At 43.8% G+C, this 14,662-nt stretch overlaps 1 protein-coding gene and 2 long non-coding RNA genes across 19 annotated transcripts in view; 2 read left to right on the top strand and 1 right to left on the bottom strand.

Moving 5' to 3' along the window:
* CFAP57 (cilia and flagella associated protein 57) overlaps positions 1–14,662 on the bottom strand; it is an 82,029-nt gene that overhangs the window by 2,961 nt on the left and 64,406 nt on the right. For all 13 annotated transcript variants that reach the window (XM_011540796.2, NM_001195831.3, XM_011540793.1 and 10 more), the window contains one exon: positions 8,039–8,171. In XM_011540796.2, the coding sequence (XP_011539098.1) occupies positions 8,039–8,171 (133 nt within the window). The remainder of the gene's footprint in view (positions 1–8,038; positions 8,172–14,662) is intronic.
* LOC105378685 (uncharacterized) overlaps positions 804–14,662 on the top strand; it is a 68,913-nt gene continuing 55,054 nt past the window's right edge. The window contains exon 1 of one of the 5 annotated variants that reach the window (XR_007066041.1): positions 804–1,179. This is a non-coding gene — a long non-coding RNA (uncharacterized LOC105378685). The remainder of the gene's footprint in view (positions 1,180–14,662) is intronic. The other 4 variants (XR_007066039.1, XR_007066040.1, XR_007066038.1 and 1 more) reach the window with 4 other exon arrangements.
* Positions 3,521–14,052, top strand: LOC124904164 (uncharacterized). Its single transcript, XR_007066042.1, has 2 exons — positions 3,521–3,638; positions 13,719–14,052. It is a non-coding gene; the product is annotated as an uncharacterized LOC124904164 (long non-coding RNA).

The following is a 14,662-nucleotide window of genomic DNA, read 5'->3' as shown; positions in this document are numbered from 1 at the left end:
GGTGGCCCTTGGCCCCTCCCTAGTTCTTGTTTTCTTACCCATGTAATATTTCTTCCCTGGTATATAAACCCTCCCCGTTTTAGTCAGTCAGAGATATGGATTTGAGACTGAGCTCCCATCTCCTTGGCTGCAGCACCTGATTAAAGCCTTCTTCCTTGGTAATACTTGTCCTCCCAGTGATTGGCTTTCTATGCTGCAAGCACCAGGACCTTGACCAAACTCCTGGTGTTTCAGCAATATATTTTGTTTCCTTGACCGGGAATGTCTTGCTCATGGCAGCTCGGTTGCTGTGGTCTGGGAGTCTCAGAAGCCCTCCTAAGCAGCTGCCCACCTAATTTTGGCTGGAGGTGAATTTCCGTCTCTCTCTGGCCCTGCCACAGCCAGCCCCAACTTTGTTCCTGATTGCCTTGGAAGAACTGCCTTTGAAATTTGACATCTGTACACAGATAGGTGAGCAGCATCTGCTCCTCTCAATTTGGGAAAATTTTAAAGGAATTTCCATTTGTAGGTGGAACAAGACCAACTGACTGAGAGGGAAGCACCCTGACTGTTTCAGTATGGACACTCTTGAGGACTTGTTTGTAATTGTGTGTTGTGTCCCGGCAAGTGAGTGTCTCTTTTGGGTACCAGACAGTGGGATCAGCTCCTCTCAATTTGGGAAATTCTTTATGGAATTTCCATTTGCAGGTCGATCAAGCCCAACCAGTAGAGAAAGGGTGCACTCTGGCTGTTTCAGTTTGGACACTAGGGGCTTGTTTGTTGCTGCAGCAGTTGGATAGTGTTTTGGTGATTGTGTGTGTTTGATATAGTCATGGGAAATCAGAATTTAGCCAACTTGATATTCTTTTGCAATACTATTTGGCCCCAATCTTGTTTGGAATCTGGACTTTGCTGCTGAATGGAAAAGTGGGATGGAGTTGCATGGATCCAGGCTTTTGTGCTGCTGTTCTAAGCAGAGTTGGGCCTGGTTAATATGTGATGTTTTCCTTCGGTGCTGTTTAGCCCCAGTGTTCTTTGGAGTCCGGGGAAGTTTGGCCTTTAAAAATCAAACTGCCATGGACACTGCTTTACCCAAAATTTTGGTTCACATTCTTCACTGGATTAACTATTGGGGCAAACAACGTATAACCATGTAAAACCAGTACGCTTGTATTGGCATTTCATGGCTAGAGTTCTAAGGTAAAATTATTGGATTTTCGTTTGTGTGTGTGTCTACTTGTATGTGTCTATTTGTATGTACACTTATTGTTACATGTTGTGTCTACCAAACTGGCTTATAAGTAAAAGAGCACTCATACGTTAGGTGAAAAAGTCCAAGCAATTTTCAAGTTCACGTGACTTATGTAAATCTTTACTAAACAAACCGGCTTTAAAATTATTGGTAGAATGAAATTGTCAGCATACATTTTTGTTTGGGTTTTATATATGTCTCTGCTAGATATTTTGAGGTTTCAGTGTTTGGCATAGAAGGTTATAAAGCTGTTAATCTAGCCAAAACAAAATGATTTTGGTATGCCTTCTTTGACAGATGAGACTAATTTAATGTTGTTAGGTGAATCTTCTGAGTTATTGGCAAAAATATCTATGTATTTAACTTTGAGCCTCTTATTTAGGTGAGCACCTGATGTTCACTGGCTATTAAGAAAATGGTTGGGCCAGGCGCAGTGGCTCACACCTGTAATCCCCACACTTTGGGAGGCCGAGGTGGGCGGATTGGCTGAGCTCAGGAGTTCGAGACCAGTCTGGGCAAACACGGTGAAACCCCATTTCTACTAAAAAAAAAAAAAAAAAAAAAAAAAAGTTAGCTGGGTGTGGTGGCGTGTGCCTGTAGTCCCAGCTACTCGGGAGGCTGAGGCAGGAGAATTGCTTGAACCCGGGAGGCAGAGGTTGCAGTGAGCCGAGATCGCGCCACTGCACTCCAGCCTGGGTGACACAGCAAGACTCCATCTCAAAAAAAAAAAAAAAAAAAAAAAAAAGAAATGGTTAAGAAGGAAATAACTAACTTTGTATAATTGTGTCTAATATCTCAGTTTTCAGAAGTAATCTAGATAAACTGTTAAAAATGAAGAAACCAAATACATGTCAATGGGATAAATGTTTTAGGTAAACTTTTTGTGTAACTTAAAATCTTAAAATTATTTTTGATGCTCATTGGCTATGTGGGTATCTGGGTCATTTCCAATTAAGAAAGGGTTATGGGCTGGACACGGCAGCTCACGCCTATAATCCCAGCACTTTGGGAGGCTGAGGCCGAGGTGGGTGGATCACAAGGTCAGGAGATCGAGACCATCCTGGCTAACATGGTGAAACCTCGTCTCTACTAAAAATACAAAAAAAAAAAAAAAAAAATTAGCTGGGAGTGGTGGTGGGTGCCTGTAGTCCCAGCTGCTCGGGAGGCTGAGGCAGGAGAATGGCATGAACCCGGGAGGCGGAGCTTGCACTGAGCCGAGATCACGCCACTGCACTCCAGCCTGGGTGACAGAGTGAGACTCCATCTCAAAAAATAAAATTAAAAAAAGGTTATGATATGGAGAAATATGTTTCTAAAAGTTGTGGAATTGTTCTCATGTATAAAATGCTCATATCTGATAGTTCAGGATTTCTTGCTTTTTAGGGTTTCACTAAAATTTAAGGTTATTAAGGATAATAATTATAGTTAATATATAATTCTGTATATGAAATGGGCCAAAAGATGTTATTAGTGAGAAAAAAATAATTTTGTCTAATTTAGAAGTTATTAAAAGTTAATTCAAATTATGGACATGAAAATTTTTTTATGGCCGGGTACTGTGGCTCATGTCTGTAATCCCAGCACTTTGGGAGGCTGAGGCAGGCAGATTACGAAGTCAGGAGATCAAGACCATCCTGGATAACATGGTGAAACCCCATCTCTACTAAAAATACAAAAAAAAATTAGCCAGGTCTGGTGGCACGTGCCTGTAGTCCCAGCTACGAGGGAGGCTGAGGCAGGAGAATGGTGTCAACCCGGGAGGCAGGGCTTGCAGTGAGCCGAGATTGCGCCACTGCACTCCAGCCTGGGCGACAGAGCGAGACTCTGTCTCAAAAAAAAAAAAAAAAGAAAATTTTTTTATGAAACAATGTAGGGGAGAGAGATGTGAAGAAAGTTATGGATATGAAGATATATTTTTTGGTAAGGAAGGTTATAAAGAGAAGATAGTAAGTTTGTATGAGAAAGAATTTTGTATGATGAATTTTTGTCCTGGAGCAAAATAACTGTTTTTTTTTTTTTTTTTTTTTTGAGACAGAGTCTTGCTCTGTCACCCAGGCTGGAGTGCAGCAGTGCAATCTTGGCTCACTGCAAGCTCTGCCTCCTGGGTTCACGCCATTCTCCTGCTTCAGTAGCTGAGTGGCTACCTCCCGAGTAGCTGGGACTACAGGTGCCTGCCACCACGCCCGGCTAATTTTTTGTATTTTTAGTAGAGACAGGGTTTCACCATGTTAGCCAGGATGGTCTCGATCTCCTGACCTCGTGATCCACCCACGTTGGCCTCCCAAAGTGTTGGGATTACAGGCATGAGCCACCGCACCTGGCCAAATGACTGGTTCTTTAAAGAAAAATGAAGAAGAATAAAATCTGGGACTGGATGGAAAGCTTAAGCATGTCACGCATGGTCTGTGTAAGTCATATGTAGTTTTCGTTTGTTTGTTTCTTTGCACATACAGAGAAATTAGAAAGTTTAGATAATAAAATATTCTTTAAAACCTTATAAAGAATTGGAGAAATTTGGATAATTAACACTTTCATAGTTAAAATTCTTAGTCTTGATGAAGGCAAAATAAGAAATATTTTAAACAAATGCATTGGCGGTTTGGCAGTTCTTTTTTAATACAGTTAAGCATGAAGCCAGATTTAGTGTGAAGCCAAATCTCACATACATGCCTGTATTGCTTCACACTATGTTTGCTGTTTTGCATCAATAGTGCTGGCACTGGAGTACTTACTAATAGGTCATGTACCTAGGGTGAATTTCTTGATTGCACAGGATGTATGGTGATATTGGTGGACTTAAGGATATTGAATTGTGTATGAAGAATAAAATATTCATCATGTGGTTTTTTGGGCTCTGGGTAACATGGTAGTCTCCAGGGTAGACTGAGTGGGGAAATGTTGGGGTTGGTTTCCTGTTTGTTTTGCTTCTAATTTTTATTTGTTTGCTGTTTGTTCTCTTTTGTGTTTTGCTTGTGTATGCATATGTATAAAATCATCCATGTTCTTTAGTTTCTAGTGGAAGGCTTTTATAAGTTCTGAACAGAAATAGTACATTATATATTGTTGTTTGGAGAGGTGGATGAAAGTGGAACTGTTTGAGTGGTGTTTGTTTCTAGTGTGAGTCACTTGAATCAATAGTTTGTGTTGGTTTTAGATCTTTTCCTTTAATGAAGAAGAACTGTGATATGGGTACAAAGTTTTAATGTTCAGGAAACATTGGCCTTGTCCTTAAGGAAATTATATTGATTAGAATTTCTCTCAAACTAATTTAAAGTGACATTCACTTGGATTAAGTAGTAATAAAAAAGGTGAGACTTTCTAGTAATTTTTAATCTCAAGCTGTTTATCACTGATGGGCCGTCATGTATGTACTCGAAAACAAAATATGTTCAGGTTTTTAATACAATTAAGCATGATGCCAGATTTAGTATGGAGCCAAATCTCACATACATGCCTGCATTGCTTACATTGCTGCAAATCTCACAAACAACTTATCTATTTTTTATTTCGTTGCCTGTGCTTTTTGTGTCATTCGCCAAATAAATAATTGCCAAATCCAATGTTATGAAGCTTTTCCTCTATGCTTTCTTCTAAGAGTTTTATAGTTTTAGCTCTTCTGTTTAGATCTTTGATTCATTTTGAGTTAATTGTTGTATATGGTGTAAGGTAAGTGTCTACCTTAATTCTTTTGTATGTGTATATCCAGTTTTCCCAACACTACTTGTTGAGAAGACTGTCCTTTCCCTACTAAATGATCTTGGTACCCTTGTTGACAATCACTTGACCATTTATTTGAGGGTTTATATCTGGCCTCTATATTCTATTTCATTGGTCTGTATGTCTGTTTTTACGCCAGTATCACACTGTTTTGATTGCTATAGCTTTGTTGCAGGTTGTGAAATCAGAAAGTATGAGACCTCCAACCTTGTTCTTCTTTTTCAAGATTGTTTTGGCTATTCAGGGTACCTTGATATTCCATATGAATTTTGGAATGGATTTTTCTGTTTCTGCAAAAATGTCATTGAGGTTTTTATAGGGATTGCAGTGAATCTGCAGATCACTTTGGGTAGTACTGACATCTTAACGACAAGTCTTCCAATCCACCACTTACTGGTATTTAATTTCTTTCAGCAATGTTTTGTAGTGTTCAGTCTTTTGCTTCTTCAGTTAAATTTATTCCCAAGTATTTTATTCTTTTTGATGCAATTGTAAATGCAATTGTTTTCTTAATTTCCGTTTTGGATAGTACATTGTTAGTATATAAAAATTGCAACATTTTTGTGTGCATTGATTTTGTATCCTGTAATTGTGATTTTTGATCCTTTGTATAAAAATTTTCCTTAACTCCTTTGGAAGTCTGGAGGAGTTCTTTCCTCATACTCTGGTGTTCTGAAATTTCAAGATGATGGACTTGATGTGGGTCTGTTTTTAGCCACTGTGTTGGATAGTAGGTGGATCTAACAGCTTCTTAAACAGATTTTTTTCTGTTTTCAGCCCTACCTTCACTTCCACCTCCAGAGATATCTGCTTCTGATCATTCCTGAGCCTTTTGAGGGTTTTGTGGCATACATTGGATTTCTTCTAGGTTCACCACTCTGGCTTCTGGGTCGGGGTGGGGGTATGTTGATGAATCACAAGTGACAGGAGTTGATATTTGTTGGAAGTAGGGGACTGGGGTCCCAGGAATTGATTAGACTTCTCTCTCAATTTTTGTATATGTCTGGAAATCTCCAAGATAGTAATATGAAGACCCTGGCTATATCACATGGCATCCTGAGGAGGTCTCAAATGAATATTTGTTAGGATACTTGGACATATTTAAAACTTTTTTTTTTTTTTTGAGACAGGGTCTTGCTCTGTCACCTAGACTGGAGTGTAGTGGCGTGATCATGGCTCACAGCAGCCTTGAACCTCTGAGGTTCAGGTGATCAATTTTACTCTAAAATCCTCACACCTCAACCTCCCGAATAGCTGGGACTACAGGCATATGCCATCATGCCCGGCTGATTTTTGTATTTTTTGTAGAGATGTGGTTTCGCCATGTTGCCCAGGCTAGTCTTGAACCCTGGGCACAAGCGTTCCGCTCGCCTTGGCCTCCCAAAGTGCTGGGATTACAGATGTGAGCCACGGCGCCTGGCCTGAAACATTTTTTAAGAGAAGTTTTGCAATTGTTCACATCTGTGCTTTATTTTCAAGAGAAGATGGTTTCACCTCTGAGAAGTCAAGCATGTCAGGTTTTTTTGTTTTTTTGTTTTTTGTTTTTTGAGATGGAGTCTCACTCTGTTGTCCAGGCTGGAGTGCGGTAGTGCAATCTGAGCTCACTGCAACCTCTGCCTCCCAGGTTCAAGTGATTCTCCTGCCTCAGCCTCCCGAGTAGCTGGGACTACAGGCCCGCGCCACCACGCCCAGCTAATTTTTGTATTTTTAGTAGAGACGGGGTTTCACAGTGTTGGCCAGGATGGTCTCGATCTCTTGACCTTGTGATCTGCCTGCCTCGGCCTCCCAAAGTGCTGGGATTACAGATGTGAGCCACCGCACCTGGCCCCAAGTATCTCAGTCTTTATGACACACGCTATGCTCTCACATCAACCCTGTAGGCCTGGTATTGCCACTTCAGGTACTACTCAGGGTTTACTCTTGTTTCAACTTCAACCCTAGCCAAAAGTGCACAAGACAACAAAATTATATACATATACATAAAATCTTATATATGTATTTAATTTTGTAATTAAATGTATATAGTTATATAGTTGAAGACTAACAATAAGTTGCAAAAATAGTACAAGGTTCCTGTGTACCTTTCAGCCACTTTTCCCCATCATAAGCTTATGTGACCATGGGACAAGAGACAACTGACACTTCAGAGACCCAATCCATAGCTATGGGATGTTTCAGTTCAAGCCTCTAATCTTTATTCCTTAATGTAAACCACCAGAAAACAAAAACTTGAACCATGTTGGCTTAATTTGCCATAGAGATGCCTTAATCTCTTGGTTTTTATCGATTGTCCAGATAAGGAGTGGATACTTGAAAAATGCTTCTTTGGGGCCTGAAAGCGGCATATGTAATTAAAGGCTGTTCATTGTTACTCCACATTCCTTTTGTAAGGATCCATGTGGTAAGTTTCTCAGAGAATTTATTGCCAGGGAAACGTTTGTTTCTCCAGAAAAAAAGCTCCCTTTTGCCATACAATGAGCATGATATAAACGATCATATTTCTTTGTTTCTCTTTTTGCCTTGGCCGTCAGAAATTCAGAGGAACTTTAGGATATAATTGCAGTAACTGACTCATTTAATATTTATGTAATTATTTCCCCTCTTCCTTTAAATAGCTCCTCATCTTGCTTTTTGTCTTCATTTTAATTGTACAGGTTCACAATCCCTTATTCACTATTCTAAAATGCAAGAAGATCTAAAAACAGAGTGCTTTTTTAAATTCAGGAAGCTTAGTGTGAATATTCATATGTCACTACAGAAATACTAAAGTGTTTGATTTTAGGGCACTGCCCCAGACCCCTCTGGGAATGTTATATAAAGTATTCGCTTTCTAAAATCTAAAAGAGTCTGCATTCTGAACGGTAGCTAACCTCAAGGATGTCAGCCAGGGGACTGTGGACCTGTGTGTGTCGGAGTGTGGGAAGGCCCTCATGGATTCCTCAAAGAGCAGGTGTGTGCCCCGGACAGGATCCCAGAAGGCCATGTGTAGATGGGACCTGATACAGAAGGAAGCCAAAGGGAGACCTGCCTGCAGCTGCCATCAATCCCTTCGTCCCAGTGCCCATCTCCCCTGGCCACTGGTGATATTACCTGTCTCTGAAACTTCTTGTGGTCGGACTTTCTTGGTCAGTTTCAGAGCTGCTTCAAGGTCATAGACTTGGGACCGAGTGAACTTCAGCTCCCTGCGGAGCTCATTAATTTCCTTGATCAGAGAGACATTTTCCTGCAGAAAAGGGGGAAGAGAGAGGGAGGGTGGATGGATGAGTGGTCAGTGGGCACAAGGCATACCCTCCTGGGCTGAGTGTATGGGGAATGGGCAGGGTTAGGTCTGGATCCAGAACTCTGGATCCTCTATTGGGGCCTGAGCCTTTATTCCAGCCTATTGCTCAGCCTCTTAAGGAACCAGCTAACTTACTTTCGGGTAGACTCAGCACCATTCACATCCACCCATGCTTGTTGCAACGTCAACAGCAACAACAATGCTTTTCCATGCACTTTTTATATGAGTTTAAATGCATCATAATAACCCTATGGCTATTATTATATCACAATTATTGGCTATTATATGGCTATTATATTATATATATATAATTATATGGCTATTATAATCACAAAAACAATTATAAATTGTTATTATAATCACAATTTTACAGAAGAGAAAAGTGAGGCACAGAGAGGTATATGACTTGCTCAGTTACACAGCTAGCAAGTGGTAGAGTCAGGATTCCAACCCCAACAGTCTGGCTCCAGAGTTCGTAAGCACTGTGCTATACTTCATTCATTTTTCATTCATTTGCTGAACCCACATTTATAGGCTATCTGGTAAGTCCATAAAGTGCAAACAGAAATAGGATATGGTCTGCCCTTAGCAGCATGCTATTTAGTGAGTAAAACAGAAAAGTAAATGGATAATTAACATCTGCTGCATCCATTGGAAGCTCACTTCTCTTATTTGTGTTTGACAAATATCCATCCATCCATCCATCCATCCATCCAACCAACCATTCATCTAATAAATGTTTATTGAGTACCTATAATGTAGTCATCCAATATTATGGAGATACTATGTTAATCCTAGAGTATAGAGAGTGTAAATCTTAGCTTCTGCTCTTGAGGAGTTTACAGTTTAGTGCGGGGTGTGGGTACAGTTTAACATGGTGGCCACCTTGCTGTGATGGAGGAGTGGGCCTAGAGGAAAGATGCTTCCTTCTGCCTGAATGACTAGGGTGGATTCCTAGGAATTGACCCCTGGGCTGAGGCTTGAAGGAGTCACCAAGGAGAGGGTAAAGGGTGTCCCAGACAACTAGAACAGCAGAAGCAAAGGCACAGAATGTGACACAGCTGATGGGGGTGGGGGAGACCTGCAACAGTCCTGCATCACTGGAATGCAGAGTGAAAGGAGGGGAGTCGACAGGAGTGAGGACGAAGCTTGCTGGGGGCCAGGTGGTGCAGGCTCTGCACCCTGGGACCAAACAGTCTCTTTCCTCTTTTCCCACACCTCAAATCTCTGCCTTCCATTTCACACCCAGCACAAGTACCCCAAGGAGGAGCCCCATCCCCAAGGGCCCAAAGAGACTGGCCACTTTGCTCTTAGAGCCCACAGCCACAGTAGTCAGCTTGTCTACAGCAGTTCCTCGTGTATGACCATACAAATACATCACCTGACCACCTTGTTAGATGCCCCTCTGACTCATAGGTCTGGAATGGGCCCTGAAATCCTGCACTGGGCTTCCAAGAGATGCTGCTGCTGGTCTGCAGGCCAGACCACACTTTCAGTTGCAAAGCACCTGAGGGTCTGTATACCAGAAAAGGCAGTTGCAGGCCAAATCTACATAAAATGGACCTGTGCCAGGAACAAACTGTGCTTCTACTTGGGACATTATCTCACGAGTGGTGGCTACGGAGTCAGAGCCCAGAGAACAGGATGGTCTTAAGCACTGTTCTCCCTGAGCTGTGACAAACGGTCCTCTGCTGTGGGGAGGTACCTGTGGAACCCAGAAGGGAGCAGGGGTCGGGCTAGAGACACCGCAATGATTCTTTTCCTCCAGAAATGCTTCATCTAAAGCACAGATCTACACCTTTAGACTTCCAGTATATTACTTAATTTCAGTATTCCTTACAATATAGTTTGGATGTTTGTCTCCTCGAAATCTCCTGTTGAAAACTGATCCCCAGTGTTGGAGGTGGGGCCTAGAGGGAGGTATTTGGGTCATGGGAGCAGATTCCTCATGAAGGGCTTGGTGCCATCCTCGCAGTAATGAGTGCTTGTTCTATTCGTTCCTGCAAGAACTAGTTGTTTTAAAAGAACCTGGCCTCGGCTGGGCACGGTGGCTCACACCTGTAATCCCAGCACTTTGGGAGGCCGAGGCAGGTGGATCATGAGGTCAGGAGATCAAGACCATCCTGGCTAACATGGTGAAACCCCGTCTACGCTAAAAATACAAACAGTTAGCCGGGCGTGGTGGCGGGTGCCTGTACTCCCAGCTACTTGGGAGGCTGAGGCAGGAGAATGGCATGAACCCAGGAGGCGGAGCTTGCAGTGAGCCGAGATCGTGCCACTGCACTCCAGCCTGGGCGACAGAGCGAGACCGGCCCCTTCTCCTCTCCTACTCTCTCTTTCGCCATGTGACACGCCTGCTCCTCTTTTGCCTTCCATCATGAGTGAAAGCTTCCTGAGGTCTTGACCAGAAGCAATGCTGGTGCCATGCTTCCTGTACAGCCCTCAGAACTGTGAGCCAAATAAACCTCTCTTCTTTATAAATTACCCAGCCTCAGGTATTCCTTTATAGTAATGAAATCTCTCTGTCTCGGATGAAATGCCCAGTCCTCATTGTCAACCCCTCATTCTTCATGCTAGGATTTGTACTTGTGTTTCTGAATCAGATGTTTTCTCCATCGAATGCTTTACCCTTTGAACCAACCCAGGCCTTGCTGATTGTAGTGTGATGGGTCCCCCACCAGGTTACTTAAGGGTGTATGTTCACTGTCTGAACCCTCAAGGCCAGGCAGTTAGTCAAGGCCATGGTGCCCAGCTGTGGAGCAGGTGTCCCTGAGAATCCAAACATCCTAGAAGATATCTGAAAACCTACTAAGGAAAACAGTCCCATGGCACATACACAGTAGGTGAAGAGCCAGAAAATTAGCTTAAAAGCAGCTTAGCGATGTGAGGCAAAGCAGGTCTCTAGAGCTGTCCTGCTGCTGCCCAGGAGTGCCCCACATGGAAGACCTAAATAAACTCATCTACTCACCAAGCTGGACTTGTCATTCTTCGGTCTCCCCAGTTTGGGAGGGAGGGTGGGGAACATTACAGTTCCAAATTGTCTCATAACAGTGATAGGTTTCCCGCATTTCCTTTCCAGATGCTGCCTGGTAAAACTCTGCTAGATCCTCCCATGGACCTTCTCCTTGCAGACTTTATATCATGACATGATCAATTCAATACATATTTATTGGGTTATGGACCTTGGACCCTGCCTTGCATGTTAGAGGTGCTCATTAAATATTTGTGAAATGGATGAGAAAATGTATAACTAATGCAGTGGATACCAAACCGAATAAGATGAGATTCTTACTAATAAGGAAGTTACAGACCAAGGGATAAGGGACAGGTGAAAGAGACCAGAACAGAAGGGAAGGTCTTAGAGCCACAGGGGGAAGCTTGCTTGCTTGAGGTCTCTCTCCATTTCTCCCTTCAGTAGGCCTCGCTAAGCTTCACTTCTCCTGATCCTCATTAAATAACTCAATAACAATCATCAGAATAAGCACTAGAAACTGAAAGCACAATTCGAGTTCTCTCACAGTTTGCATCTTTAGCTGCTTCCTCTTTTTGGTCATCTCCATCCATTCTGTCACTGAGTCCTATTGATTTTGTGTCTGAGTTGATTCTGATGTTCATCCTTCCTGCTGGTTTGTCACCAGCTCTCAGTGTTCTCCCTTGTTCTGCTGTAAAGGCCCCCCGGCAAGTGGAGCCCTGCCCTGGCTTCTCCCCACCCCCTCCACCCTCTACAGCCCTGTCACTGTGATTGGGATTTCTGGCTCCTGGTACCTGTTGGTGTGAATGCCTGTTCCTGACCCCCCTGCCAACCTCTGACATCTTCATGATGCTCCCTTACCTAAATGGGTCTCCAGGGCTTGATCCTTTTTGGAGTATGATTGAGGCCCACCACTCAGTGCAGCCTGACTCTCTTGTTCTGTTCATTCATTCATTCATTCATTCACGTATTCATGTAAGAAAAGTAATCTAAGAACCAGTTCCTGAAAGCTTATACTGGTCACTGTGCCAGGCATGGGAGGTCCCGCTTGGCTCCACTGCAGAGCTGCCATGAGAGGCTGAAGCATGGTTGGGCCCCTGCCCAACCCAGTGTGACAGTGTGCAACCCCAGGGGAGACAGAGGAGAAGAGTGTTCCAGGCCCAGAGCCAGGAGGCGGCAAGCAGAACCTAAGGCAGGAAGAGCTTGATGATAACGATAATAAGAGTAACCACAATTGCAAGGGTTGATTGGATCACTGCAAATGTATCAAACAGCATGCATACAGTCCCTCAGTTCATCCTTACACCAACCTTGTGAGGAAACTGAGGCCGTATCTCAGTGGTAGAGCTGGTGTCTGAACCCTGTCGTGCCTCCATCCAGAGAGCCCTGCTCCTCCGTGACTACTGCTTTCCAGGCTCTGCTGTCCCCCCTCACATTTATGTCACCTCCATTCCAATATCTCACATAGTATGATGGCCAAGGACACTCCCAATAAGTATAAGTTGGGCTACCTGCAAAATGTTTTCTGGGGTGGCCTGTGTTCCGAGGGGTCCCGAGGTCACATTGAGGTCGACCGTTTTTGCTTTGGATGGCTTTGTGGATTAAAAATGTGAATGCAATGGGTTTGCCGAGCCTTCTCTTCCTGATCTCTCCCTTGTCAGTTTGACTTCCAAAATCCCCTCCAATCCTCCAGACCCCCACCCAGGTCTACACAGCTGCAGAGGAAATCTGACCTGGGGTCCACCAACGTGCCAAGTCTTGGGGGATGTGAAACTGTTTATGTAAAAAGCTTTCTAAGCAAAGGGGCTCTGCCAAGCTGTCCAGGACTGCCTTTGGCCTTTGGAACTGACTGATGACCCTGGCAGGTCTTTCCGACCTCCGTATTGAGCAGAGAAGAGAAGGGAATGCCTACAGCACCCCCTAATGGCATGGCCTGAGTCGATGCCTTTAGAATATGGCAGTACCTCACAGCCTGGAAAAAGCAGGCAACAGATTTATTCCATGGACTTGGAATCCTTGCATCAGTGACATCTTTCTGGAACCCACAGTCAGTGGGCTCACCATCTGCCTAACTGCACAAATGAGCCATCCTGGAATCCTTCTCCGTTCTTTCAACCTTCCTCCCATGTCTAACCTGACATTTCTATTTGTCATTTCTACTCTGAAATGCCTTTTGACACCACAACTTTCCCCTTTCCAAGTACTTCTCATCTACCCTTAACATGACAGTCATTTCCTAATGGGTTTTTCTGCCACCTGCCTCTTTCCCCACCAGTCTTCCCACCTTGCCAATGGAGTGTTTTGTCTTTTCAAAACAAAGACACCCCTACTTAAGAAACCTTGGGTGGAGCCTGTTTACAGGACAAACTGTACTTTTTGGCATGGCATGGACGCCCTTTCCAACATGACCCTCAGCCACCAACCATTTCAGTGGGTTCTTCTCCACTTGGACTCTCTTCTCGTGGACTCTTGGGTCTCCAAGCACCTCACAGGCCTCACTCTTCTCTGCTTTTTCTCAGGTTGTTCCCACAGCCTGGAAGTCTCTTCCCTGACTTGTTCCACGATCAACCTCTACTCACCCTTCAAGGCTCAGCTCAAATGCCCCTTGCCCCAGAAACCTTCCACAAGTCCTGAAGGCATCACTGAACCCCATTTCCAGGATGAGCCCACAGCACTGCATACAATGAGTTGAGCAGTAATTATTTGTATCTGGTCCAGGTTCCCAATGATTAACTCCTTGAGAGTAGGAACACTATCACGTTCATCTTGGAATCCTCAGTGACTGACACAGAGCTTGCTGTACAAGAAGCCCTCAAAAAATGTGTACTGAATGAATAAAATGCATGTCCTAGATGTTTGTATCTCATAGCAACTCTTATTTTCATATCTGCCAGTGTGCTGAGGAATGGAGTGGGGAGGCTGAGCTCCTGTCTGAATAAACAAATGAGACAGTGACCTCATTTTCTGTTATTTTCTAATGAGTTACTCTTAGATGCCATGTTTGCTGTGGCCTTCCTCAGCCTTTTTGGATTGAAGTGCCAGGGCCATGGCAACTGAAGATGAGGTCCAGCTGGCTCCTGACCAGCACACACCAAGGTCACCAACTGAGGGTCTGGAATCAGTTGTGCCATCCACCCTCCACCCTCCACCCCTGCCACCTGCAGTCCACAGGCACCCGTGGCCCATCCTGTGATGGGCTTCTAGGCTTTCCCACTGGATTTCTACCTTGGTTCTTGGATAGGTCCTTTGCTTGGATGAAGAGGATGGAAATTGCCTTTTTTTTTTGGGGGGGGATGGAGTCTCGCTCTGTCGCCCAGGCTGGAGTGCAGTGGCCCGATCTTGGCTCACTGCAAGCTCTGCCTCCCACGTTCATGCCATTCTCCTGCCTCAGCCTCCAGAGTAGCTGGGACTACAGGTGCCCACCACACGCCCGGCTAATTTTTTTGTATTTTTAGTAGATATG

This window comes from Homo sapiens, chromosome 1, assembly GCF_000001405.40.
Source record: "Homo sapiens chromosome 1, GRCh38.p14 Primary Assembly".
In the NCBI taxonomy this organism is placed as follows: domain Eukaryota; kingdom Metazoa; phylum Chordata; class Mammalia; order Primates; family Hominidae; genus Homo; species Homo sapiens.
Note: the sequence above shows the minus strand (reverse complement) of the source record. Positions and strands in the feature narration are given on the sequence as shown.